Source organism: Homo sapiens, chromosome 14 (genome assembly GCF_000001405.40).
Source record: "Homo sapiens chromosome 14, GRCh38.p14 Primary Assembly".
Classification (NCBI taxonomy): domain Eukaryota; kingdom Metazoa; phylum Chordata; class Mammalia; order Primates; family Hominidae; genus Homo; species Homo sapiens.
In genome coordinates this window covers 102,820,616-102,847,209 of record NC_000014.9, presented here as the reverse complement: position 1 = coordinate 102,847,209, position 26,594 = coordinate 102,820,616, and the positions used below count along the sequence as shown (strand labels likewise).

Below are 26,594 nucleotides of genomic sequence, written 5' to 3'. Positions count from 1 at the left end.
GACAGAGCGAGACTCCATCTCAAATAAATAAAAATGAAATTTCAAAAGGTAAATTTCTATAATATGAATAAATTTAAGATAAAACATGATTAACTACTGTATATGCATGTGCTTTGGGGATTTTCCACATTTTTTTAATGGAACATGCACTATAAAATCTGATTATTTTAAAACTGCTTTTACTATGAGGTATTACTTACTTATAGAAAAGCATAGAAAACATATGTATACCGTTTCATGAAGTTATTACATAAATACCAGTCCAACTACCACCAAGGGATGGAGCATTGCCAGAACTCCAGAAAGGCTGGGTGCCTCTATCTGACCCCAAAACCCTTCCACCACATACGTAAGTAAGTACTAGCTTTAACAAAATGATTTTGTTTGATTTGTTGACGCAGCATCTTGCTCTGTCACCCAGGCTGGAGTGCAGTGGTGCAACCACAACTCACGGCAGCCTCGACCTCCCAAACTCAGGCAATTCTCCCATCTTAGCCTCCCAAGTAGCTGGGACCACAGGAGGATGCCACCGTGTCCGGAAAATTTTTTTTTTTTTTTTTTTTTTTTTTTTAAGAAGCTGGATCTCCCTGTGTTGCCTAGACTGGTCTGGAACTCCTGGGCTCAAGTGATCCTCCCATCTCAGCCTCCCAAAGTGCTGGGATTACAGGCATGAGCTACTGTGCTTTAACTTTTATGGTTTATCATTTCCAAACTTTTCTTTAGAGATTTATCACCTAGGTGTGCAGCCCTACCAAACATAACTTATATAAAAACCAGAAGCAGATGAAAATAACAAAATCATACTACATATATTCTTGTCTTGCTTTTTTCTTTGCCTTTTTTGTTGTTGCTGTGTCTGTAGTTTATTTTCATTGCTGTGTAATATTCTACTCAGTAAATATACCATAATTTAGTTATCCATTCTCATCCCCGAGGGTGGTCTCTGCTTTGGAGCAAATATAAACACGACTTAAGATTTTTCTGGTACAGCTATCTCAATCACTTTAGGCATGTGTTTCTCTGGTGTACATACCTAGAAGTATGATTGCTAGCTTATACTCTAAAGCCAAACTATTTCCCAAAGCAGCTGTAATGTGCACTCCCATCAGAAGGGTATGAGAGAGTTTCTGTTGCTTAACTTTTTCAACAACAATTGCCAAACTTTTTAATTCCTGCTAACTGAACAGCGGTATAATAGTATTTTTTTTTTTTTTTTTTTTTTTTTTTTTGAGACACGGTCGACCTCTGTCACCCAGGCTAGAGTGCAGTGGCATGATCATGACTTACTACAGCCTTGAAACTCCTGGGCTCAAGAGATCCTCCCACCTCAGCCTCCCCAGTAGCTGGGATTACAAGCATGTGCCACCACACCCAGCAAATTCAAAACTTTTTTTGGCTGGGCGCAGTGGCTCACACCTGTAATCCCAGCACTTTGGGAGGCCGAGGCGGGCAGATCACGAGGTCAGGAGATCAAGACCATCCTGGCTAACACGGTGAAACCCTGTCTCTACTAAAAATACAAAAAAATTAGCCACGCATGGTGGCAGGTGCCTGTAGTCCCAGCTACTCGGGAGGCTGAGGCAGGAGAATGGCATGAACCTGCGAGGCAGAGCTTGCAGTGAGCCGAGATGGCGCCACTGCACTCCAGCCTGGGTGACAGAGGGAGACTCCGTCTTGAAAAAAAAAAAAAATTTTTTTTTTATTTTTAGGCTGGGCACGGTGCTCATGCCTGTAATCTCAGCACTTTGGAAGACTGAGGTGGGCAGATCACCTGAGGTCAGGAGTTCGAGACCAGCCTGACCAACATGGTGAAACCCCATCTCTACTAAAAATAAAAAAATTAGCCAGAGCTAGTGGCGTGCGCCTGTAATCCCAACTAACCGGGAGGCTGAGGCAGGAGAACCACTTGAACCCGGGAGGCAGAGCTTGCAGTGAGCCAAGATTGCACCACTGTACTCCAGCCTGGGCAACAAAGTGAGACTCCATCTCAAAAAAAAAAACAAAAAATTTTTAGGGCCGGGCATGGTGGCTCACGCCTGTAATTCCAGCACTTTGGGAGGCCGAGGTGGGTGGATCACGAGGTCAGGAGATTAAGTCCATCCTAGTTAACACAGTGAAACCCTGTCTCTACTAAAAATACAAAAAATTAGCCGGCGTGCTGGCAGCCACCTGTAGTCCCAGCTACTCAGGAGGCTGAGGCAGGAGAATGGTGTGAACCCAGGAGGCAGGGCTTGCAGTGAGCCAAAATTGCACCACTGCACTCCAGTCTGGGCAACAGTGCGAGACTCCGTCTCAAAAAAAACAAAACAAAAACAACATTTTTTTTTTTTTTTAGAGGTGGGAGTCTCACTATGTTGCCCAGGCTGGTCTCAAACTCCTGGCCTCAAGCAACCCTCCCGCCTCAGCCTCCCAAAGTGCTGGGATTACAGGCATGAGCCACCACACCTGGCCAACTAAGAATTCTTTATTATAGAATTTCATCATAATTTTGAATAAAGAATTCATGAAATTTTACATCTGGCAATTACTGCAATGGAGATTTAATTTTGTAGCCAAATATTTGTTCACCTTCCCCATGGTTCCTGCACCCTGATCCTTGTCAGGTATAAATTCCCAGCTCAGTCCACAGCTTCCAGGGGCGCTGACTCCAACACCTGGGCCCAGGTAAAGCCTGTGATTTGCACCTGGTCATTCAGAGCATCTTATTTTCCTGCCCAGAGTTGGCTCATCTCTGAACACACAACCCAGGTCAGGATTAATGGGTCTCCTCTTCCCACTATGGGACTTATAGAGATTCTCCCTCTTTCCCAAAGAACCTGAACACATGAAGGAGGATGCTGGGGAAGAAACTGGCCCAAGTGAACCATCTATAGCTAGCCCTGCCTTAGGTTTTTCAATCAGATGATCAATAAACCTTCTTTTTACTTACTTAAAACAACTAAGGTTGAATTTCTCAAAATTTACATCAGAAAGAGCCCTCATTGATACAATCACATACTCAGAAACAGGTTTTAATCTTGTACTCAAGAACTGTATAGGTCAATTAAGGTAACACATGACAACATATGTATGTGTTTACACACATTCCCAGCATTCCCTCAATCATACATTTGTTTAAATCTAAACATTTTTAATAGTCATAGGACTGGTTAAGGTTTTCTATTTCTTCAGTTACTTTTAGTTAAGTTACATTTTGAAAGAAATTTGTCTATTTTATCTAAATTTTCAAATGTATATAGCGTGATGCTAATTCTAATATCCTTTTATGATATCTTAACAGTCTACTGAATCCATAGTGTTTTCACCTTTTTCATTTCATTTCATTATTTATATCTGTTTTTTCTTCCTTATCAGTTTCACTGGAGCTTTGTCAATTTTACCACTTTTTTTTTTCCTTTTAGAAACACAGGGTCTCACTCTGTCACCCAGGCTGGAGTACAGTGGTGTGATCATAGCTCACTGTAGCCTCAAACTCCCAAGCTCAAGCAATCTGCCCTCTCCTCCTGCCCAAAGTGCTGCGATTACAGGTGTGAGACACCATGCCTGGCCCCAGATGGAAACTGACTATTTAAGCCTGAGTGCAGTGTCTCACGCCTGTAATCCCAGCACTTTGGGAGGCTGAGATGGGTGGATTGCTTGAAATCAGGAGTTCGAGACCAGCCTGGAGAACACAGTGAGACTCCGTTTCTACAAAAAATACAAAAATTAGCTGGGTATGGTGGCACACGCTTATAGTCCCAGCTACTAGGGAGGCTGAGGCAGGAGGACTGCTTGAGCCCGGGAGACAGAGATTGCAGTGAGCCGAGATCACACCCACTGCACTCCAGCCTGGACACTAGAGTGAGATCCTGTCTCCAAAATATATATAAATAAAAATTTTTCCCATCAAATATTATTTTCTTTCTATCTGAATTTCCTTTAATACTCCTTTAGTGCCATTCTGCTGGCAATAAATTCTGATGTCTATTGGCCTAAAAATTTATTTTTGTTTTTGGGTTTTTTTTTTTGAGATGGAGTCTCCCTCTGTCGCCCAGGCTAGAGTGCAGTGGCACGATCTCGGCTCACTGCAACCTCTGCCTCCCGGGTTCAAGCAATTCTCCTGTCTCGGCCTCCTGAGTAGCTGGGATTACAGGCACCTGCCACCACACCCAGCTAATTTTTTTTAGTAGAGACGAGGTTTCACCATGTTGGCCAGGCTAGTCTCAAACTCCCGACCTCAGGTGATTCGCCCACCTCGGCCTCCCAAAGTGCTGGGATTACAGGTGTGAGCTACCATGCCTGGCCTAAAAATTTCTTTACTTCTGAAATAAATAAAAATTTATCCTTCATTTTTGAAAGACATTTTTGCCAGATACAGAACTCTAACAGGTTTTTTTCTTTCAGTACTTTGAATATGTTGCTCTGTTGTCTTCTGGTTCACACAAGATGTGACCAGGAATCGCTGTTATTAGCAACTGTATTCCTCTGTAATGTGTCTTTTCTTCTGGCTGCTTTGAAAGCTTTTGATCTTGATCACTGGTTTTCTGGCAATCTGATTATGAGGTACCTTGGATTTCTTTATATTTGCTCTGTTTGGAGTTTTTGAGCTTCATAGTTTGCATTTTTCATCAAATTTGGAAAATTTCCAGCCATTATTTCTCCAAATATTTTTTCCATTCCCTCCTCTTCTCCTTCTGGAACTAGGTTATACATATCTTAAGTCAGCTGACTTTGTCCCACAGGCTGCTGATGCTCTGTGATCTCGCGCAGTCTGGATTCTCTGTGCTGTGCTTTGGAAAGCTTCTACTGCTACGTCTTCAGGCTCATGAACTCTTTTCTTCTGTCGTAATAACCTGTTGTGATCCCTCTACTGCATTATATATACATATACATGTGTATATATTATTTTACTATATATAAATTTATTTTATTATATATTTTATTATATAAATAAAATATATATTATTTTTATCTATTTATTTATTTTTGAGACAGAGTCTTGCTCTGTCGCCAGGCTGGAGTGCAGTGGTGTGATCTCGGCTCACTGCAACCTCCACCTCCCGGGTTCAAGTGATCCTCCTGCCTCAGTCTCCCGAGTAGCTGGGATTACAGGCGCCTGCACCACGCCCGGCTAATTTTTGTATTTTCAGTAGAGACGAGGTTTCGCCATGTTGGCCAGGCTACTCTTCAACTCCAGACCTCAAATGATCTGCCCACCTCAGCCTCCCAAAGAATTGGGATTATAGGTGTGAGCCACTGCGCCCGGCATTTTATATATTGTATATATTCTATTTTCATCTCTGGAAGTTTTATTTCAATCTTTTTTGAGTCTTTCATTTCACTCAGTATGCTTATGTTTTTCTCTACGTTTTATGTTGAGTGTGCAACATATTTATAAGTTATTTTAATGTTTGTGTGCTAATTGCATCATCCCTTGTCTTTCTGGGTTCTGTTTCTCTTGATTTTCTTCCTGGTTAATATCACATTTCCTTGCTTCTCTGCATACCTGGTAATTATTTATTAGATGCTAGACACAATTTCTTTTTACATTTTTGGGTGCTAGTTTTATTACATCCTTTTTAAATATAGTCGGGGCTTTGGTTCTGATAATGTAATCAAGCTATCTGTAATCAGTTAGGGCAAGTCGGGAGCAGCCCATTGGTCTATGGATAACTCAGCCCCACTGCTAAGGCAGCCCTTCTGAGGAATCGTCCTGACACCATAGATGAAAAAGCTGCTCTGAACCCACGCTAACAAAGATGAAAAGGCAACCCTTCAAAGGATCTACCTGAGACCACCCTGGGTGGTGGGAACACAAACTATTCCCAGCCCTGTGCAACTGATGTCCAAGAAGTGCTTGGCCTTCTCCTTTTTGGTGGTTCTCCTCCCAGCCTTGAGGTGCTTCCTCTTGGCCACGTGCAGACCAGGATGCAGCCAACGCCTCAAGGGGGCCCTTCTGCAGATCTCTAGAGCTCTCTCTCTAACCTGCTCCCTCCTCTCCTATGTTTTCCTCCACAAATTCTAGCTGTCTTGTCCTCCCCAATTTCTCCTGTATCATCACTTTAGTGAAGCCAGTGGGTTCTGTTTGACTTCTCTCTTCCTGCCCTGAAACATGGAAACTGCCTCTCGAGACAAACTAAGGCTGTTTGTGTCAGAAAGGTTTTATTGTAATGCGTCCACGTCCATTCACTTACATACTTAGGATGAAAGCAGGCACAGAGCATAGCAGAGTAGTTGTGACATTAACAGCATCCGGCCCCCAAAACCTACAATGGTTACTATACAGCCCTTTATAGAAAAAAGTGCAGTCTCATGCTGTGGGGTATAAGCTGGAATACTGCAGGGCTTGTTTTGTTTGTTCCCCTTATTTCAAGGAACATGGTCCTAACCAGCCTTCTGTCAAATGTATGAAAACTATTACTTCATATATTTTGTCTGGTTTTCAAGTTGTTTAAGATAGAAGTCAATTTGGGACTAGGGCAAGCCAAGTGAGGTACTTGCCTTAGGCACAAATCTTAATTGAGTGTCAAAAAAACTCAGTAATAGAGATAAAATCAAAATTAATGAAAAAATCCACGAGGTACAAAATACCAAAGTTTTATATATAATATCGATAATGGTGTCTTGCCAAGCCATGCTGGAGCTTGAGACAAAAAGAAAAATCATTAATACTGATCCTGTCTTTCAAATTTGGGTTTTGGGCCAGGCGTGGTGGCTCACTCCAATAATCTCAGCACTTTGGGAGGCTAAGACGGGAGGACTGCTTGAGCTCAGAGTTTGAGATCAGTATGGGCAACACAGTGAGACACCACTCTACAAAAAAAAATAAAAAATTATCCAGACGTGGTGGCATGTGCCTGTAGTCTCAGCTACTTAGGAGGCTGAGGCTGGAGGATCACTTGAGCCCACCCATCTGTATTACCATAGCTGTAGTGAGCTATGATTGCTCCACTGCACTCCAGCCTGGGCAATAGAGCAAGACCCTGTCTTAAAAAGTAAAAAATAATTTTGTTTTTCATCATGGATTTTTTTTGCATCAAATTTGATTTTTTTAAAGCACTGCATTAAAATATTAATAATCTCGATTACTGAGATTTTGGGTGTCCCTTTAAATTCTGCACTGAGGCAAGTGCCTCACTTGCCTTACCCTAGTCCTGGGTTGGGGGGCGTAAATCACCTCTAATTCCATCATAGTGGAAATGGAAGTCTCCGGGAATAACTTTCTTACTAAGTAGAATTAGACTAATACCTTATCACTATAAGAGTTTGTCGGAACTGCCAAACTTAATGTTTTCATTCTCAGAGATGTCTTTGAAAAAGAGATTACTTCGATGTGAAACATTATGCTCTAACTACTTCTCACTATTTGCAGCTAACAGTAGGGAATGTACATGTTCCCACATATACCCATCAGAGGCAATCATTAGATGTGTATCAAATGGATATAAATTAGTAAACAAATGCACTGTGTAGACAGGAAGATACTATGAGAACATAAAAACTTTCTTCTAATTACTAAATAAATACAAACACACAAAGATGTTGTGACTGCAAAATAACTGAGTAATTATATAGTATCTGGGCGACACACTGACAGTATGAGGTAGACCGAAAACAGCCACCTGCAGCAACTGCTGCCAAGTCAATTTCTTCACTGTTGAAAGTAAGTGCTCAGTCTCCAAACACACAAATTCAACTAAAAGCAAATAATGGCTGGGCACAGTGGCTCACGCCTGTAATCCCAGCACTTTGGGAGGCCAAGATGGGCGGATCACTTGAGGTGAGGAGTTTGAGACCAGTCAGGCCCACAAGGTGAAACCCCGTCTCTACTAAAAATACAAAAAATCAGCCAGAAGTGGTAGCGTGCACCTGTAGTCCCAGCTACTCAGAAGGCTGAGGCAGGAGAATCGCTTGAGCCCAGGAGGCAGAGGTTGCAGTGAGCGAAGATCGCGCCACTGCACTACAGCCTGGGTGACAGAGTGAGACTGTTTCAAAAAAAAAAAAAAAAAAAAAAAAAAAAGGCAAATCAACCAATAAGCATCTCTCTTGGTTTTGCAGGATTAGCATCCGTTCGAAATTAGCCTGCTCATTTTGTAGGCGTTCCGAACTCCCAATCCTACCTCATCAATATGCCAGGAGGGCACTGGGCAAGCAAAAGGACTCATCCATATGACAGGGAAAGCTTCTACCATGAGCCGATTTCCACAGATTCTCTACAGCGTTCATTTCATAGAAGGCACAGGTGCAGGAAAATGTTTTCAAAAGTACCGACAAAAAAGGTGTTTTTTAAATTAAAAATGTTATGGTATTAAATTTAGTGGGGGAATGAAGATTATGAAATTTAAGGGGGTAATTATCATGAAGAAATTGTCTAGAACTCATGGAATTCAATGTAACAATCAGACGTCATCAAATTCACAACATACCCCCTCCAATACACACTTCCCTTTACATCTGCTGCTTCCGAGCCAGCCTCTGGGTGTGAGTAGACCCTGCCCTGCTGGCTCAGCATCCCCTCCCTCACCAGGAGTGGACTTGCAAACTCTGCTCCAGCCGCAACGACTGTCTCCTTCTGTGTTTTTGTTCTTCCACTGCCTGTCAAACACTTCATCTGCAAGACTCCATTCAAGTATCTTGACAACTACTATTTATCACTAGACTCATGGTTTTCCACTAAACTTTAAGCTCCTTTAGAGCAGGGATCATGCTAAATTTATCCTGTAGTCTCAATGCCTAGCAGGACGGCAGGCACACCCAGCAGGTACCACTTGTTTGTTGAATTAAACTGCGAGCATCTTTTCTCTAACTCTCCCTTCCCAGGGAAACTGACCTTACCTCCTGAAATCCTGGTCCTGTAAGGACACCCATCACAACACTTACAAGCCTGTACTTGCCTTGCTTCCTTCTCTCTCTCCCATCTGACTGTGAGCTTTCTGAAGACAGCAATGTGTCTTGTTCAGGTTTGTATCCTCAGCACTTACAATGGTGCTGGCCACACAGTATGCATTTGGTCTTAGTTATTAATTTACTTCTTGTAGTTATTATTTGTCACAATTACAAATTTGCCTGTTATAGAGATGAGGAAACTAGAGTACGAAGATTCAGCAGCTTCACAACACGATACGTTACTAAGCGGCACAGCGGTCTACCTCGAGTCAGTGTTCTTAACTACTATGTCTGTTATCACACCGCGACTACCTCAACAAAGACAGGCTCACTGACTTGTGCCGTAAGAATCAACAGTTATGCTGTTAAATCAGATTTGCCATTTGTACGCTCAAATTATCTTAGAAAGATCATTCAATGCTCCAACTCTGCTGGCCAGGGTCTGGATTGTTGAGGAACTAAAACAATTACATCAAACAACTTGCCCAAAGTCAGAGCTAACAGGACTAAAACCTAGGTCTCAAAGACCCAGCAATTTGACCATAGTATTTTTGCTGACTTTGACAACTGTCAATTCAAACCCTGCACGATTATCTAATTCCTTAGCAAGAGGCAAAATACATATCTCAAAATTTCCAAAATATCAATAAAGCCCAATAGATGCATCCACCCCATTTTAAAACCAAGTATCTTTTTTTTTTTTACTGTTTTGAATTTCAGCACTGACACAGCCAGAGTTTGTTTACTCCCTTAGGACTCATATATGACATTCACAACCTGATGCACCAGGGAGCACCTTTAGCTGAACCAAATAAGGCTAGTGCCTGACTTCAAAATAGATTTTAAGATCTCGGCTAGGCTAAAATAAAATTTATCACATCATTTAAATTATTGTTTGGAGGCCAGGCACGGTGGCTCACACCTGTAATCCCAGCACTTTGACTTTGGAAGGTCAAGGTGGAAGGATCACTTGAGGCCAGGAGTTCAAGACCAGCCTGGGCAACATAGTGAGACCCCATGTCTATAAAAAATGTGAACATTAGCCAGGTGTGGTGGCATGCACCTGTGGTCCCAGCTACTCGGGAGGCTGAGGCGGGAGGATGGCTTAAGTCCAGGAGGTTGAGGCTATAGCGAGCTGTCATTATACCACTGCAGTCCAGCCTGGGCAACAGAGCAAGACCTTCACCCCCCCCCAAAAAAAACACACACACACACACACACACACAAATTACTTGCTTAATTTCTAGCTACTCTAATATGAAAATTGAGTACAATTATTTATCTTACTTTTGAACAGTATCATCCAAATGCATCTGGATGAGGAGGAGGAAAGAGCAAGGGGAGAATGGAAGGACTGTGCTGCGCTACTCTGTCACAGTTACAGCTATTCTTGGGGGAAAGAAGCCATTTTGTAGCAATATACCTCAGTGAGTTTTTTTCATTTTTGCTTATGGAACTGTGATAGGTTTCCCTGACGTCTTACTCACCTGAAATCATGATCAAACATTCATTACCACTGCATACTTACTTCATTCCTAAAACACAAAATGTCAGACATATTTTTATAGCTAGATAAGAGTCATGTTAAAAGTTTAAGATATGTAGTGTAACACTTCTTTGATTGTAATATTCTTCATGCTATATAAACTCTCTAGAATAAATTTACTTCATAATCAAATGTGGCCACCCACCTCACCTTGCTACAACTGCTAGACACACTAGTACAAACTCTCCTAAGTAGCATCCAATGATCACATATACAAAAGTGTAAAACATTTCCAGATCACCCTAGAATTTTCATCTAAGCGGCCTTTCAAATAAACTATATTCTGCAATGTTGGCTTTTACCTAATACACTAATGATTCACTGCAGTTTACACCGTGAATTTAAATAGAGATTTGTTATGCAACATCAAATTTCTTAGTTTCTCCAAAAATTAATCAATATCTTGAACATAAAATATTCTATTCTCAACAATCATTATACAAATAAAATGGCTACATTAATAAAATTTTCTGCCAGAAAATTATGAAAATAAATCTTTAAATGTAGGTTAGAGCAGTGGCAGTGCTGCTAAATGACTTCAGAAAAGACTCAGCGAGTGAGGGGCATCCACAAGCCAGGCACAGAGGAGCAGGTGCACAGGCCCTGGCCAGCCCCAGCCTCCTGTGCTGTGTGCAGGCAGTACACCTTGCACACGGCACTGGCTCTGCCCCAGATGGTCACAGACAGTTGGGACCAAAGCACCCACCAAATGTATATATCATGTAGATAAATATTTTAGAGACAGGGTCTTGTTCTGTCACCCACGATGGAGTGCAGTGGCACAATCACAGCTCAGTGTAACCTCAAACTCCTGGCCTCAAGCGATCCTCCCGCCAACATGCTAGTATTCCAGGCATGAGTCATCGTGCCCAAATTATTTTTTTTTACTTTTATTTTAGGTTCAGAAGTACATGTGCAGGTTTGTTATACAGGTAAACTCCTGTCACCAGGGTTTGATGTACAGATTACTTTGTAACCCAGGTACGAAGCCTAGAACCCAATGGTTATTTTTTCTGATCCTCTCCCTCTTCCCACCTTCCACCCTCAAGTAGGCCCTACTGTCGGTTGTTCCCTTCTTTGTGTCCATGTGTTCTCATCACTTAGCTCCCACTTATAAGTGAGAACATTCGGTACTTGGTTTTATGTTCCTGCATTCGTTTGCTGAGGATAATGGCCTCCAGCTCCCAACCACGTTCTTGCAAAAGACAGGAGGATCTCATTCTTTCTTACAGTTACATCGTACCCCATGATATAAATGTACCAAATTTTCTTTATCCAATCTGCCACTGACAGGCATTTCAGTGGATTCCATGTCTTTGCTATTGTGAATAGTGCTGCAGTGAACACACATGTGTACATATCTTTATGGTAGAACAATTTATATTCCTTTGAGTATATATAACCAGTAATGGGATTGCTGGGTCAAATGGTAGTTCTATTTTTAGCTGAGGAATCACCATATTGCTTTCCACAATGGTTGAACTAGTTTACACTCCACCAACAGTGTATTAGGATTCCCTTTTCTCCATACCCTCAAAATAAGCATCTTATTTTTGACTTTTTAATAATAGTTATTCTGACTGGTGTGAGATGCTATCTCACTGTGGTTTTGATTTGCATTTCTCTAATGGTCAGTGATTTGGGCTGTTTTTCATATGCCTGTTGGCTGCATGTGCATCTTCTTTGGAAAACTAACTGTGCATGCCCTTTGCCCACTTTTTAATGGGGTTGTTTTTTTTCTTGTAGTTCTTAAGTTTCTTAAGTTCCTTATAGATGCTGGATATTAGACCTTTGTCAGATGCATAATTTACAAATATTTTCTCCCATGCTGTAAGATGTATGTTTACTCTGTCGATAATTTCTTTTGCTGTATAGAAGCTCTTAAGTTTAATTAGATCCCATTTGTCAATTTTTGCTTTTGTTGCAATTGCTTTTTGTGTTTTCTTCATGAAACCTTTGTCAGTTCCTGTGTCCAGAATGGTATTGCCTAGGTTGTCTTGCAGGGTTTTTATAGTTTTGGGTTTTACATTTCAGTCTTTAATCCATCTTTTGTTGATTTTTGTGCATGGTGTAGGGAAGGGGTCCAATTTCTTTTTTTTTTTTTTTTTTTTGAGACGGAGTCTCGCTCTGTCACCCAGGCTGGAGTGCAGTGGCGCAGTCTCGGCTCACTGCAAGCTCCGCCTCCCGGGTTCACGCCATTCTCCTGCCTCAGCCTCTCCGAGTAGCTGGGACTACAGGCGCCCGCCACCACGCCCGGCTAATTTTTTTGTATTTTTAGTAGAGACGGGGTTTCACTGTGGTCTCGATCTCCTGACCTCATGATCCACCCACCTCGGCCTCCCAAAGTGCTGGGATTACAAGCGTGAGCCACCGCGCCCAGCCGGAAGGGGTCCAATTTCAATCTTCTGCATGTGGCTAGCCAGTCGTCCCAGCACCGCTGATTGAATAGGGAGTCCTTTCCCCACTGCTTTTGTCAGCTTTGTCGAAGATGAGATGGTTGTAGGTGTGCAGCCTTATTTCTGGGCTCTCTCTTTTGTTCCATTCGTGTCTGCTTTTGTACCCGTACCATGCTGTTAGGTTGCTGTAGCCATGTAGTATAGTCTGAAGTTGCGTAACAGAATGCCTCCAGCTTTGTTCTTTTGCTTAGGACTGCCTTGTCTATTTGGGCTCTTTTTTGGTTCCATATGAATTTTAAAGCAGTGTTTTTCTAGTTCTGTGAAGAAGGTCCTCGGTAATCTGCTAGGAATAGCAGAGAGTCTGTAAATCGCTTTGGGCAGTATGCACGCCCAAATATTCTTTTTTTTCCCCCCGAGACAAAGTCTAGCTTTGTTGCCCAGGCTGGAGTGCAGTGGCGCAATCTTGGCTCACTGCAACCTCCGCCTCCCGGGTTCAAGCCATTCTCCTGCCTCAGCCTCCTGAGTAGCTGGGATTACAGGTGCCACCACACCCAGCTAATTTTTGTATTTTTAGTAGAGATGGGGTTTCACAGTGTTGGCCAGGCTGGTCTCGAATTCCTGACCTCGTGATCCACCCGCCTCGACCTCCCAAAGAGCTGGGATTACAAGCGTGAGCCACCGCACCCGGCCACATGCCCGAATATTTTTAAATGACAGCACCCTTTCCACAGTCTGGCATTTGTCTTGAGAAAAATGAAACTTAAAAGAATTGCCTATAAATTAAAATATCAAAAGCACTGAGGCAGATTTTTCTAGTGTTTCCAAACTACCTCATTCTCCTCAGTCATCTCTATACTCGAATGCAAAGGACTCATTTAAATTTGCTACCCCTCACAATATGGGTGTTCGCTTGCATGAGAAAGAACTTGAGGGAAAAGCAAAGGAAGGAAGGATCCATTCGCAACATGAGACATCATCTGTTCTTAGTTGTTTCCTACTCCTTAAAGGCAGGAGAAAATAGAAATATTCAATAATTTGGAAAAACAGTAACTTAGTAATAGAAAAAAAAGATTTCTTGGTTGAATTTGAAAACATCTGAAAAAGTCCTATAAGGAAAGGGTAGATCATCCAACCACCTTCAAGGAAAGCGTCTGTGTCCAGTATTCATTCATTCACCCAACATGTACTGAGTGCCACAGAAGGGAGAGGGACAAGAAAGACAGAAGCCTCCCCTTCACAGAGCTGACAGTCCACAGGCAAGAAGACAGAACACCAGCAATAAGAGTGTGTGTGTCTGTGCAGGGTGTGCATGTGTGTGAGACGAAAAGTACCAAAGGGAAGTGCACAGTGCACATGGAGGTCACACCCATTTATGTGGATATGGGGACCTCCCCCACCCCAGGAGAGGACATTTAAGCTATAATCTGAAAGATAAGTAGAAATTACGTATTTTCTATAATTCTCAGATTTTAAAATTATAAACATAGGTAAATGCAGTAAGAAAAATCAAATGCTTAAGAAGTAGCTTAGTATTAAACATCAATTCAACATCTCATTTTGTAGATTATATACGAAAAAAAAACCCGTTCTAATTCTAGGGTACCAAACTTCTTGCTGTATTCATGCTTAATATATATTACTGCTATGTCTATTAGTGTGTTTGTGTGTGTATAAGAGAGAGTGGGTGTGTGTGTAGGTAGTGCTTGATAAATATATATATTTTTTGGTGGGAGGACAGAGTTTCACTCTTATTGCCCAGGCTGGAATGCAATGACATAATCTTGGCTCACTGCAACCTCCACCTCCCGGGTTCAAGCAATTCTGCCTCAGCCTCCCAAGTAGCTGGGATTACAGGTGCCTGCCACCATGCCCGGCTCATATTTGTATTTTTAGTAGAGACGGGGTTTTACCATGTTGACCAGGCTGGTCTCGAACTCCTGACCTCAGGTGATCCACCTGCCTCGGCCTCCCAAAGTGCTGGGATTACAGGTGTGAGCCACCACGCCCGGCCAGTGCTTGATAAATATTAACTGAATGGAGTGGGTTGCAGACCAGGGCTTAGAAAATGTATTTGTTAAAAAGATACTTTTCTTCTTGAAAAATGCTGAGAAAGTAGACGTCTTTTCTGAAAGATTTTATGTTTAAAAGAAAGAAAAAATGTAAAGTGTTCTCACCACAAAAAAAGATAACTGTGAGTTTATCTTTACACTTGCTAATTTGCTAGACTTAACCATTCCATAATATATATACTTCAAAATATCATGTTGTACATGATAAATATATATACAATTTTATATGTCAACTAAGAAAAATAAATTTAAGGAAAAAAGGATACTTTTCTTCTCACACTTCTTTCCCAAGTACAAAATTAAACCTCAGTACCAACTGGCTTCCAGGCATTAAATTACACTTCAAAATTATCCTTATTAAAGGTGATACAGGAGGTGCTTTTCATCAACTCATATATTAGAAGCCTTGTGCTAAGTTACTATTATGAACAAAACTTTTAGATAAGCAAATCTGAAAGCAAGAAATGAATTTGTTTTACAAGATATGAAGCTGCAAGTTGTAATAAACCAAACTACCCATGATGATGAATGATAAAACTGCCCAGCACTATTAGATATTCTCAAAATCCCAGGCCAAAAAAAAAGGGAAAACAAACCCTCTAAGAACTGAGGGTTTTGAATTAAAGTTCTAAGCCAAGAAAGGCTCTTGTATTCTGGGCAACGGGACCCATGGCTGGGGCTGGGAGACAGAAGGTCACTCCACATAAGGGCAGCGGGCAGCAGGCAGCACTGGGCAGAGAGCAAGGCAGACCAGGAGCACTCAGGAGAGCTGGACAGTGAGGCGGCAGGACCTGGCCTGACCGAAGTCCCAGCACTCCACGCTCTATCTGCAACAGTTTGGAAGAGCCAGAGGCCTCTCTTCACCATGTGGTAAACCAAGAGCCTATCTTACCCTTTTCTTTGAAAAATGTTTTACCTCCGCCTGCTGAGCTTGGGGACACAGTTTCACCACTGTGGTGGAAGTTACTCAGAAAACAGAAGTCACCTTGTTATGTCAATGCCCTGCTCACTGTGTGGTCCTCCTGTGTGGGCGACATGGGTTTCCTCACCATAGGGATGGCAAACAAGTACCCCAAAAAGAACATCCAGGCAAAAACTGCACCCTTTTAAGGACCTAACTCAGCAGTCACATAGCACCATTGGGCCATACTGCTGGGTGAGGGAGGCCACACACCCAGCCCAGGTGCAGCTCTCTGTCAAAGTCCCATGTGAGAAGAATAGGGAGAATGGGAGAAATCACTGAGAATACTTAGGAAAACACAATGTCACCCTAAGTGAGTTATACAGTAAAATCTCAGTCTTCTTTCAAGATTGGAAAATTAAAAACCAGGGTTCAATGGAATCTGGCTAAAAAAATCAATTTGTATTTCAAACCTTGTAAGCCGAACCTCTTATTACTTGTAATAAGTTGCAACTTGTAAGTTGAGCCTAAATTACTATGTTGTCCTGCCTTAGTAAATACAGTATCATGACCTTGATTTAACAGGTGGTGATTCAGATTCACCCCTGGGTAACTGCTGGGCACTGCAGCTTCTCTGTAAGAACACAGAATACCACAGCCTGGCAGAAATGGAGATGTCAAGCCAGAATTTATCCCAACATTCCAGTTTGCAGGCTCGGCTATGCACCCATCTCTCATCACAGCACACAGCGTTAAGGGCAGAGGTCATGCCCTTTGCCCCTCCTATGGGTGACTCCAGCACACTGAGTAGAAATTCTATAAATAACCAGAAGAAGGGAAGACAAGAATTTTTAAAATTCTAAATTACAGAGTCTAAATTAGATGCCTGTTGTTATTACAGGCCTCTTTCTGACAAAAGGAAAGCAAAACAACAACAACATCAATTAACTGAGAGCAAACCTCTTCTGTCAGGACAGCGATCCTTAGAAGAGTAGGGAGCCAGGAGCCAGGAGCCAGGTTTCTGATCCTAGGTCTGATTCTGACCTGCTCTGGGACCTTAACCAAGTGGCATCACTTCTTTGGGCCTCATTTTCCTCATCTGTAAAATAAAGGGATTGGATTAGACAAAGATTCTTAACTGAGGCCTACAGGTGAGCCACAGCAGCATGCCCGCTGTGTGCCTCAAGGCCAGTCTATCCTCAAGCTCAACATTTAAATTCTATAATCTCAATGCTTATTAACAAAGAGAATGAATTCTACAGAGCATGAAAACATTCTCCCAGTGTCTGGCCAGGCCCTCTAGGAGCTGCCGCCTCGGCAGCAACCACCAGGCTCCAACCTTCCGACCTCAGGCCCCTGAAATCACACACAGACATTTCAGTCTCTGGCCATCAAGATGTCAACATTGTTTTAAATGCACAAGGGAAACTAGTTTTATTTATTTATTTATTTTATTTTATCTTTCTGTAGACATGAGGTCTTGCTATTTTGCCCAGGCTGGTCTTAGATTCCTGGGCTCAAGCGATCCTCCTGCCTTCGTCTCCCAAAGTGCTGGGATTACAGGTGTGAGCCACCATCCCCGGCCTATGCTACATATATTTCTAACAAACAGCAAACAGATCTTCGGCAATGAAGACAATAGGCCCTCGTTTATCATTTTCACAAGCTTGACATTTTAAACATGGGTCTTTCTAACTTGGGCCTCCCTCCCCAAAACCAATCCCCATGATACCCTGGAAACAGGCAGGGCTGCCTCCCAGGAAGAGCCCTAGCAAGTGTTACCGGAAACAAGCCCTTCAGATGGATAGAAAGCTGTGCCAGGAGCCCACCAGCACATGCGGCTGCAACTGTGCTTTTGGAGACATCATGCATTGCCAGCCCTCAGGAGGTACAGATGAGCCAGCCCCTTCTACACAGTGCATGGACTGAGGTGGCAGGTCATCACACACACACAGGCTAGTTCCTCAGCCTGAAGTTGAAAACTATGTCTCAACCATATTCTGTTGCCAGGAACCAAGAGACCAAGGCAGACATCACCAGAGAAAGAACTGAGCTCAATGGACTACTCTGGTAAACAAAGAGAAAGGATGTGCTTCATATGGAAAGCTGAATTTATTTACACTAATCACGAATGCAGGCCCTCAGCTGGAAAAGCTCACTTCCAATGCCAGAAGGTTCAGAACCCATTCACAAGCTTTTCAGAATGCAAGCAGTTGCCATGGTAACCCCAACATTATATTTCTTGGCATTGGACATATAAATTACCACCCATAATGCATTTAATACCGTTTGGGGCCACTAATTCATTGCAAAATAAATCTCCGCTCTGACTCTTGGCCTCCCTCTAAGATAAACGAAGAGCAGCAGCTGGAGGTAGCACCCAGCTCACCCCACGGATAAACACAGAGCTCCACACATCTGAAAATGCTCTTCTAAAGGCAAAATAAGAACTAAGGAGATTAGAATTCATCATCTACAGCCAGTGGCTGAGATTTTTTAAGACGAAAAGTTCCATCCAGATTAATGTAACTGTCATTGCTTAAGTTAAAGAAATGAATATATTCTATGCGTATCTACACCTCTGAAACCAACTACGTTTAGCAAATCAAAGAAAAAGCAGATCTCTTCAAAGAACATCTTCAATAATTCACTTATATAGGGCATTTGTCAAGACTAAATAAGATAAGTCTTCAAACGTCAAAAGGGTCATTAACAAGAAATAAAGTTTTATTTCTTAGGTTCAAAAGAGGTCTATTCAATCATAATTCTTTACCTTGATTAGGGATATTCATAAACATTTAAAATACATATATGCATGATCTGTAAAGTCCCTTACCTTCTTATAATCCACCATCTGAACACAGAGATGAAAACAAAATTATCGTGCACAAACTGCAAAGACATCTTCAGCTTCACGTTCCCAGGAAGCCCACTGCATCAGTAAGTTGACAGAGCTGCTGCAGGACATGCTGTGCCAGCCACAGCATTCACAGAATCGCGTACGTTCTAATCACTAAACTGCCAGGTCCGGAGGAGTATTACCTTCATTATCTCCTCCTTCCGACTGCAGGCAACAGTCAGCAGTTGTGAAGGGGAGCAAAAGGCTTCACCACGAGTTGTTTCCATATTAACAAGGACTTTGGTAACCGCTGCATTGCAGTCTTTCTGAAAGCTACCAACCTCAGAAGCAAAAGCGCTGGAGAGAGACTCTCTGGCACAGGAAGCAGTCTTTCCAATCACGAAGATTTTTAAAGAATCTTTAAAAAATGCTGTGAACACCTGAGGCTTCTTCTAGATTTCCTACCTGTCTCCTAGAGGTTGACTGGTTTGTGTTTTTTACTGGAGGATGGCTGTGACAACTGGCCGTGCGGGGTGGGAATGCGGAAACGAGTGCGCTGTGCGCTACGACGCCCCCTCTCCGGGCTCAGGTACGCCCTGCGGGAATCTGCACATCTGCTGCTTAGCACCAGACTCAAAGCCCCTGCTGAGGGGCTCCTGGGAATGAGCCATGATTTCCATTCCAGAAAACCAAGTACAGCAAGCACTTCCAGGTCCTCTGTGGGCAGCAATCACTGAACACCCAGCCACCTTCACAGTGTGGTAACAACCATTACGTGGTCAGAGCACTTGAAATATTAAACCACTGACCATAGAACCAAATCAGGAAAAAGAGGCTTCTGAAATAGTAGCACGCTTAGTAAATGACCTTTGGTTTTCATTCATTCATGCAATACTAAGTTTAGTGAGCACTGACCATGTGCTGTATATAAAAAGAATATTCAAATGGAGCATCCCTAATCCAAAAATCCAAACTGCTCCAAAATCCGAAACTTTCTGAGTACCAACATACCACCACAAGAGGAAAATTCCCCAACTGACCTCACGTGACGGGTCACAGTCAAAACTCTGTTTCATGCACAAAATATTTAAGAATATTGCATAAAATTACCTTCAGGCTATGTGTATAAGGTGTATATGAAAAGAATTTTGTGTTTACACTTAAGTCTCATCCCCAAGATATCCAATTATGCATATTCAAATATGCCAAAATCCGAAAAGATCAGAATCTGAAACACTTCTAGTCCCAAGCATTTCAGATAAGGGATACTCAATCTGACTGTGGGGAACCGCCGTCAGGGCGGGCACCGGTGCTCTAGGAGGAAGAGTCATGGAAAACACACCATCATGCGTGGTGGAGGAGGGCTTGGCACCGCACAGGAGGAAGAACCCGGGCCCGAGTGCACCTCCAGGACAAGGTTCTGTGAGAAAGGAACATTGAAAAGGGGCTGAAGGACGTGGACTCAGCTGGACTACAGGGAGGGCCAGGGGGAGAACACCCTCCAGATGGCTGTACACATTCCTCAGCAGGTGCGGGAGGTCCTCTGCAAGGGGACCTTGCACGCCTGTGGCCGGAGCCCGTCCCTCCCTCACAGCAGCCCGGAGCAGGTACAGCCACCGCCACCACCACTGACAGAGCCTATGTCTGGGACCTGAGGCCTCCATTTGCCCAAGGCACATGGTGACCACGGGGAGGCACCAGGGCATGGACACAGCAGGGCAGCTCTGTGTTGTGCGACCTCACCACGCCGCCACCCATAAGTAACAGCTGTCCTTTGGCAGCCCTGGCACCCCTGACAGAGGTGACAGTCCACGCGGCCTCTGCTCAGATGGTTTTCTTCCACCCTATGTCCAGAGCCCAGCCGGACCCTGAACAGGTGTGAGGTGAAGGACTGCACGAATGAATAAACAAATTAAAGAATCTACTGGTCACTCCCCAATTCTAGTAACAGGAAATGACATGTCAGACCTCTGCCAATGTTATGCTGTTCTCTGATGAAAATGGCCCTTCTTTGCCTTGTCTCTGGCTACCTAACCTACTTCACATCTCAGGCTCTGGAATCTTCTCCTCCAGGACGTCTTCACTGACTCCCTTCCCACCCCTGGCAGCAAGGCCCTTTCCCTGAGCTCCCCCGACCTCCAGCAGCTCCCATGCTGTCCTGAAGCGGCGGCTCTGCAGCTGCCCCCGCACAGAAGCCCTGCAGTGGCGGTCAGGGTGGTATCTGCGGTGCTCAACGTGTTCCTTCTGCTGCCACATTCCTGGAGGACTCACCACATGTCAGCCACCTGCTCCACACGCACAACTCACTTGTTCCTCTGTGAGGCGGCTCCACCAGACAGACGAGGATGCTGAGGCACAGTCAGTTCAAGCAGAAGAGCCAGGATTTACACCCAGGAACCAGCCTCCTCCAGCCACATCCTAACCTCCCCTTCTGCTTTTGTAGATACCCAAAACAGAGTTCACTGACACCAACTGGAAAAGACGTTGTTACCTCACGGGGGTGGGAGGGATTCGAGTTACAGAAAAACTTTTAAGGAAATACAGCAGTCTTCCTCCCCCATCCTTCCCTCTTACTGTGAGATATGAATGAATGAACACATTTGGCCACAGCAGACATGCCTCCGCGTAAATTCCTGACAGGGAACACCTACGGCCTACAGGAGATGAGGAGAGAAGAGAAGGCACAAAGAGGTAGCGTGAGGTGGTTTCCTTTTGCCATCACCGTGCTTCAGAGAGACTCACTCAAGCAGTTTAAAAGCCTCAGAGGAACTTTCATCAAGCGCTTCTAGACGTATTTAGGTGCCACTCTGGGCACTCCCCACAGAAGTTCCAGAAGAACTCTGACTTTCAAGTCAGGGATCAAGGCTTGTTCTCTGTGGCAGCGCCACTCTCACCAGCCTCCAGTGGTGGCAGCGCTGCAGGATGACTCTTCCCCCATTGATCTGTCCGTCCTGTGACGCTGACCCACACGGCCAGAAGCCCAAGCGTAGCCTGAGTGGGCTCTCCGTGGGGGATCTCGAGCAGTGGGAAGGTCCCACACCAACACTCTTGTGCCTCCTGGAACAGCCAGCGCCTACAGAGGAGGGCCCCACAGCTGGCCCAGGGCTGAAGGGAGTGTCCACTGGTGGGAAGAGACGGGCAGGGGCGCAACCTGCCTCCAAGGGGTGGCAGAAGGTCCCAGAAGGAGCACACCACAGGACCCTTCCAACTGCCTCTCAATTCGACCATCTGATTAAGGGCAGCAAGGTTTGGTGCACGGGTGCCAGGTCCCCGCAGGCCTGTGAAGGTGGCTTCCTACTGTCTCCAGTTTACAGTTGAGGTGGCAGCGAGGCTTTAACAGGAGAAATCACTTTCCAAGTGCACCAGTGGGTGCTCCAGCAAAGCTGCTTGGCTCTGAGCGGCCTGACGCTTTGGACTTGGCATGACCTCCTCCTGGCGAAGGCACGGCCCGGTGTCCTCACAGCGTGGGCAGAGCAGAAAGGGCATGCTGCCTCCCTCTGGCACTGACTCCTCCTAACCAACCGCTCACTCCTTCTGGATCCCAGATTCCTTGTCTAAGAAAGGAGTAAGACCTATCCTACAAACCACATGATGTTGATTTTCAACTGACTGAATGCATTCTCTTTCTGCAGGAAGAGAATCGTGTCTACTCACAATTCACATGAGTCACCTGGTGTGTAAAAGGATTAGCTGTCTCAAAATGTAAGGCATGACTGTTACCAAATAGAGCCACAAGGCACTCAGTAATATTTTCAACCTTAATTCAGCTTAGATATATGATGAGAGACCTACAGGGCTCTTACCATTAACTAGAATGACCATGGCAAATCCTGCCCCTTTATTAAATAGTAGTAATGAAATTAGTAATTTAGCTCAGGCAGACTAGCTAACATCATTAACGCGCATTTACATGAATTTGATGCAAACTATGGAAACATCCCAATAGGTCTCATTTAGACACTTAAAATGCTAAAGGGCAACCCTACTATCTGCAGGTATTTTTCACTTCAAAAACAGGCAACTCAGTCACCAAAATTAACAAGAAAAAATCCAAGTAATCGGCATTCCGCCTGAAGGGAAAACATAGACAAATCATTCATATTCACTCTAGGTGCCACTGGGGCCACAGAACAAAGGATGTCCCCAAGAGGAAGCAGAGAGAAGAAAAATAATATAAAATACACACAAAATTTATTTGGCTTAGATACATACTTATTTACCAAAAATCTATACAGGATAAGACCATTTCATGACCACCAGATGTGATCTGGTCTTAGGAAGGAAAGAGACTGCAATTCTGCCTGTTTCTCTAGGCAACAGAGGGTCTCAGGGGCTTTAAACATGACACAAGAAGTCGCTAGGTCAGCAACAAAGGTCAAACAAGCCCCAGTCACAAGTAGCAAACTGTCTGTACAAACATAAATGGGAATCTGAACTGTAGGTAAAAGAAGCAGCAAAAGCAGATACAAACAACCTAGGTATATTCCCAAGAGAAATGACATGTCCACACAAAAACCTGTACATGAATGTTCACAGCAGCGCTATCACACAACAGCCAAAAAGTAGAAACAACCCAAACGTCTATCAATGGACTAACAAATACATAAAATGTGGAACATCCACACAATGGAATAATATTCGACATTAACAAGGAACAACCGATGCATACATGCACAATATGAATGAAAATATGGTGCTTAGTGACAGAGACTGCACACAGAAAACACATCCTGTCAACCGCATTTCCATAGAATGTCCAAAGTAGGCAATGGCTGCACAACTCTGTGAATATACTAAAAACCACAGACATGGACACTTTAAATAGGTAATTGTATGGAATGTGACGATTTCAATAAAGTTATTTTTTAAAAGCGGACACAATCAAGCCAAAGGCCAAACATCCAATAGACACCACTTAATGAGATGCAGGTCACCCAATCAATTAAAAAACAACAAGAAAACGTTACTGCAAGTTTCCACTATGCCAAAAGATGCATTACTTTTGGGGTACTCCTTCCAAAAATGTTAAATAAGCTTCTCACTAGTCAAAACAATTCATAATTCCTGTGAGAACTCCCCCTCTCCCAAATCTAAAAGTTCAACAACTTCTCAAGAAAAAAGTTGATCTTAATTTTAATATAAAATATAAGTCACATATTTGTGCAAATGTAGCACTTTTAATCATGAGGGAGAGGTGTCGCTATGGAACTTATCAACACTCTCCCCCAAGAAAGTATTCATTTACTTGATTCTGTCTACTATGAAATAAATAATACCTGAATCTTTAAGACCCAGAAACATTTCAGAAGGTTTGAGGTCAAAGAAAACACATTAACTCAACATAATGCTCACAAGAACGAAAATAAGCCTATGCATAAAATAAACAACTAAATGATGGTGGAAAGACCACATTCCCTAAACCTAACAAAAGCTCCCCGCTCATTCCCACCCACTGCCATCTGTCTACCTCAAACTCTTCAACAACCCAACTCACAGAAAGCACCTAGTCAATGTGGTAACATAAGCACAATCCTGTAATTGGCTCAAATCATCATTACAATAACATGTGTTTCTTTTTTTTTTTTTTGAGATGGAGTTTCACTCTTGTTGCCTAGGCTGGAGTGCAATGGCGTGATCTCGGCTCACCGCAACCTCTGCCTCCCGGGTTCAAGCAACTCTCCTGCCTCAGCCTCCCCAGTAGCTGGAATTACAGGCATGTGCCACCATGCCCGGCTAATTTTGTATTTTTAGTAGAGACAGGGTTTCTCCATGTTGGTCAGGCTGGGTCTCGAACTCCTGACCTCAGGTGATCCACCCGCCTTCACCTCCCAAAGTGCTGGGATTACAGGCATAAGCCACAGCGCCCGGCCAGCATGTGTTTCTGTTTTCCGCAGGAAGAGAATCATGTCGACTCACAATTCACAATGAGTCAACCGGTGTGTAAAATATTTTACATAATGGGAAAATTTATTGTGACCCAAAAGTTCAGTGTGTTCTCATTAAGTTACCAGAAATTACAGATGTGAAGATACTCCTGTTAACTTAACCAAAATCAAGAAAAGAAACTACTTTAGATACGCACACATTTTCAGTTTGGTAGATCTGATTCTTTTTATGATACTGCATTTCAAGTTACTCAGATTGGTAAATTCATAGCTTAAATACTAAATAGAGAAAATCTGCATATTGACAACATAGGTAATTTAAGACTGGTTTTGGCACTGCGTCACTTACTACCTATATAGCTAAGCTCTGTCAAAACCTGACAGGGACAGCTTCAGTTTTTGTAAATACTCGCATGGTGAAATGGTTTTTCCAAAGTTATGATACCATCTAAAGTGCTAATGGAGCCTTCCCATTGTGCTTCACGGTGAATAACATATTTCTGTGGAAAATCTTATAGTGTTGCATCCATTTAACATTTTCCCAGAATACATTCAGGTTTTTTTAATCCCGAAGAAAACATTTAAACAATTAAAACACATAAAATTTTTCTATTATGACCTTTTAAAAAACCCTCAGTCTTTTATTTTATTGTATTTTATTTTATTTGAGATGGAGTCTCACTCTGTCATCCAGGCTGGAGTGCAGTGGCACAATCTTGGCTCACTGCAACCTCCGCCTCCAGGGTTCAAGCAATTCTTTTGTCTCAGCCTCTCGAATAGCTAGGATTACAGGCACACGCCACCACACCCGGCTAATTTTTATATTTTTAGTAGAGACTGGGTTTCACCATATTGGCCAGGCTGGTCTCGAACTCCCGACCTCATGATCTGCCTGCCTCGGGCTCCCAAAGTGCTGGGATTACAGGCGTGAGCCACCGTGCCCGGCCACAAAACCCTGAGTATTTAAAGGCCACACTTGGAAACGGACATGTTTATGCATGCAATACAGATGCAAACATTTTAAACTACATAATCCACTGATACACACACACTAAGAAATCAAACATTTCCAATTCCATAAACATAATACATCTGAAGCAAAGATAATGCCACCAGGTATTTTTTACTTTATAAGTTGGTCCCCAGAAAAGGATAATTATAAAAGACACCAGGAAGCCTCTTTTCAACCTTGTTAAATAAACGACTTGCAAATATTAACCACAAAACTGTGGGTGAAGCCACTCTGTCCTGTCATGATTACTCGCTCATAAAGGCCCAAAATGCGTCTTGAAGGGAGTTTTTGCAATACAAATCCTAATCTTAATTATATAAACTCTATTCTTAACTATCTTAAAATACATTACAAAAGACCATTCTCAACTTTCTGAAAACTTTAATATCTTTTATAAAATCTGAAAGATTGAGACGGTGTTACTAAAAGTGTCACGGCTCATTAAATCTTGAATCATTAAGTCAAGTACCTTGGACAAATCATTTTAAATTAAAAGAACAATCTTTAATATACATTTTCAGATGAGACTTAATACATTCTACACAACTTATCAAAAGCCACAGAAAAGCTACGGAAATAATGGAATGAACACACAGTGATATTTGCTTCAGGAACAGACTATTTCACCCTACATCCTTTTAAAGTGCTTGAGATATGCATATTTAGTAGGCATATTTCAGAATTAGCTCTTCATTTTCTAATAAAAAAAGGGCAGACTTCCCTGCAGGCTTGGCAATGAAACATTTTCAAAATGCAGGTACCAGGAGGGTGTGGTGGTTCATGCCTGTAATCTCAGCACTTTGGGAGGCTGAGCCAGGAGGATCTGCTTGAACCCAGGAGTTCAAGACCAGCCTAGTCAACATAGTGAGACCCTGTCTCTATAAAAAAATTTTTTAAAACTTAGCCAAGTGTGGTGGTGGGTGCCTATAACCCCAGCTACTCAAGAGGCTGAGGTGGGGGATCGCTTGAGCCCAGGAGATTGAGGCTGCACTGCAGTGCGCTGTGATTGCACCACTGTGCTCTGGCCTGGGTGACAGAGCAAGAACCTGTCAAAAAAAAAAAAAAAAAAAAAAAAAAAAAA

At 43.0% G+C, this 26,594-nt stretch overlaps 1 protein-coding gene across 18 annotated transcripts in view, besides 2 other annotated features; it reads right to left on the bottom strand.

Moving 5' to 3' along the window:
* TRAF3 (TNF receptor associated factor 3) overlaps nucleotides 1-26,594 on the bottom strand; it is a 134,052-nt gene that overhangs the window by 64,291 nt on the left and 43,167 nt on the right. For 10 of the 18 annotated variants that reach the window (NM_145725.3, NM_001385142.1, NM_145726.3 and 7 more), the window contains one exon: nucleotides 16,738-16,876. The exons of 5 other annotated variants lie outside the window; for them this stretch is intronic. The gene's annotated coding sequence lies outside the window, so the exon portion shown is untranslated. Of the gene's footprint in view, nucleotides 1-16,737; nucleotides 16,877-18,613; nucleotides 26,564-26,594 lie in introns of those variants that run through there. 3 more of the 18 variants (XM_017021618.2, XM_017021619.2, XM_047431741.1) reach the window with 1 other exon arrangement.
* Nucleotides 5,897-6,437: an enhancer, noted in NCBI's record as "NANOG hESC enhancer chr14:103307110-103307650 (GRCh37/hg19 assembly coordinates)". NCBI's record gives its function as "activates a minimal SCP1, AML or CMV promoter by ChIP-STARR-seq in primed H9 embryonic stem cells {active_cell/tissue: H9 hESC(primed)}" and the evidence as "EXISTENCE:reporter gene assay evidence [ECO:0000049][PMID:30033119]".
* Nucleotides 18,645-19,144: an enhancer, noted in NCBI's record as "H3K4me1 hESC enhancer chr14:103294403-103294902 (GRCh37/hg19 assembly coordinates)". NCBI's record gives its function as "activates a minimal SCP1, AML or CMV promoter by ChIP-STARR-seq in naive H9 embryonic stem cells {active_cell/tissue: H9 hESC(naive)}" and the evidence as "EXISTENCE:reporter gene assay evidence [ECO:0000049][PMID:30033119]".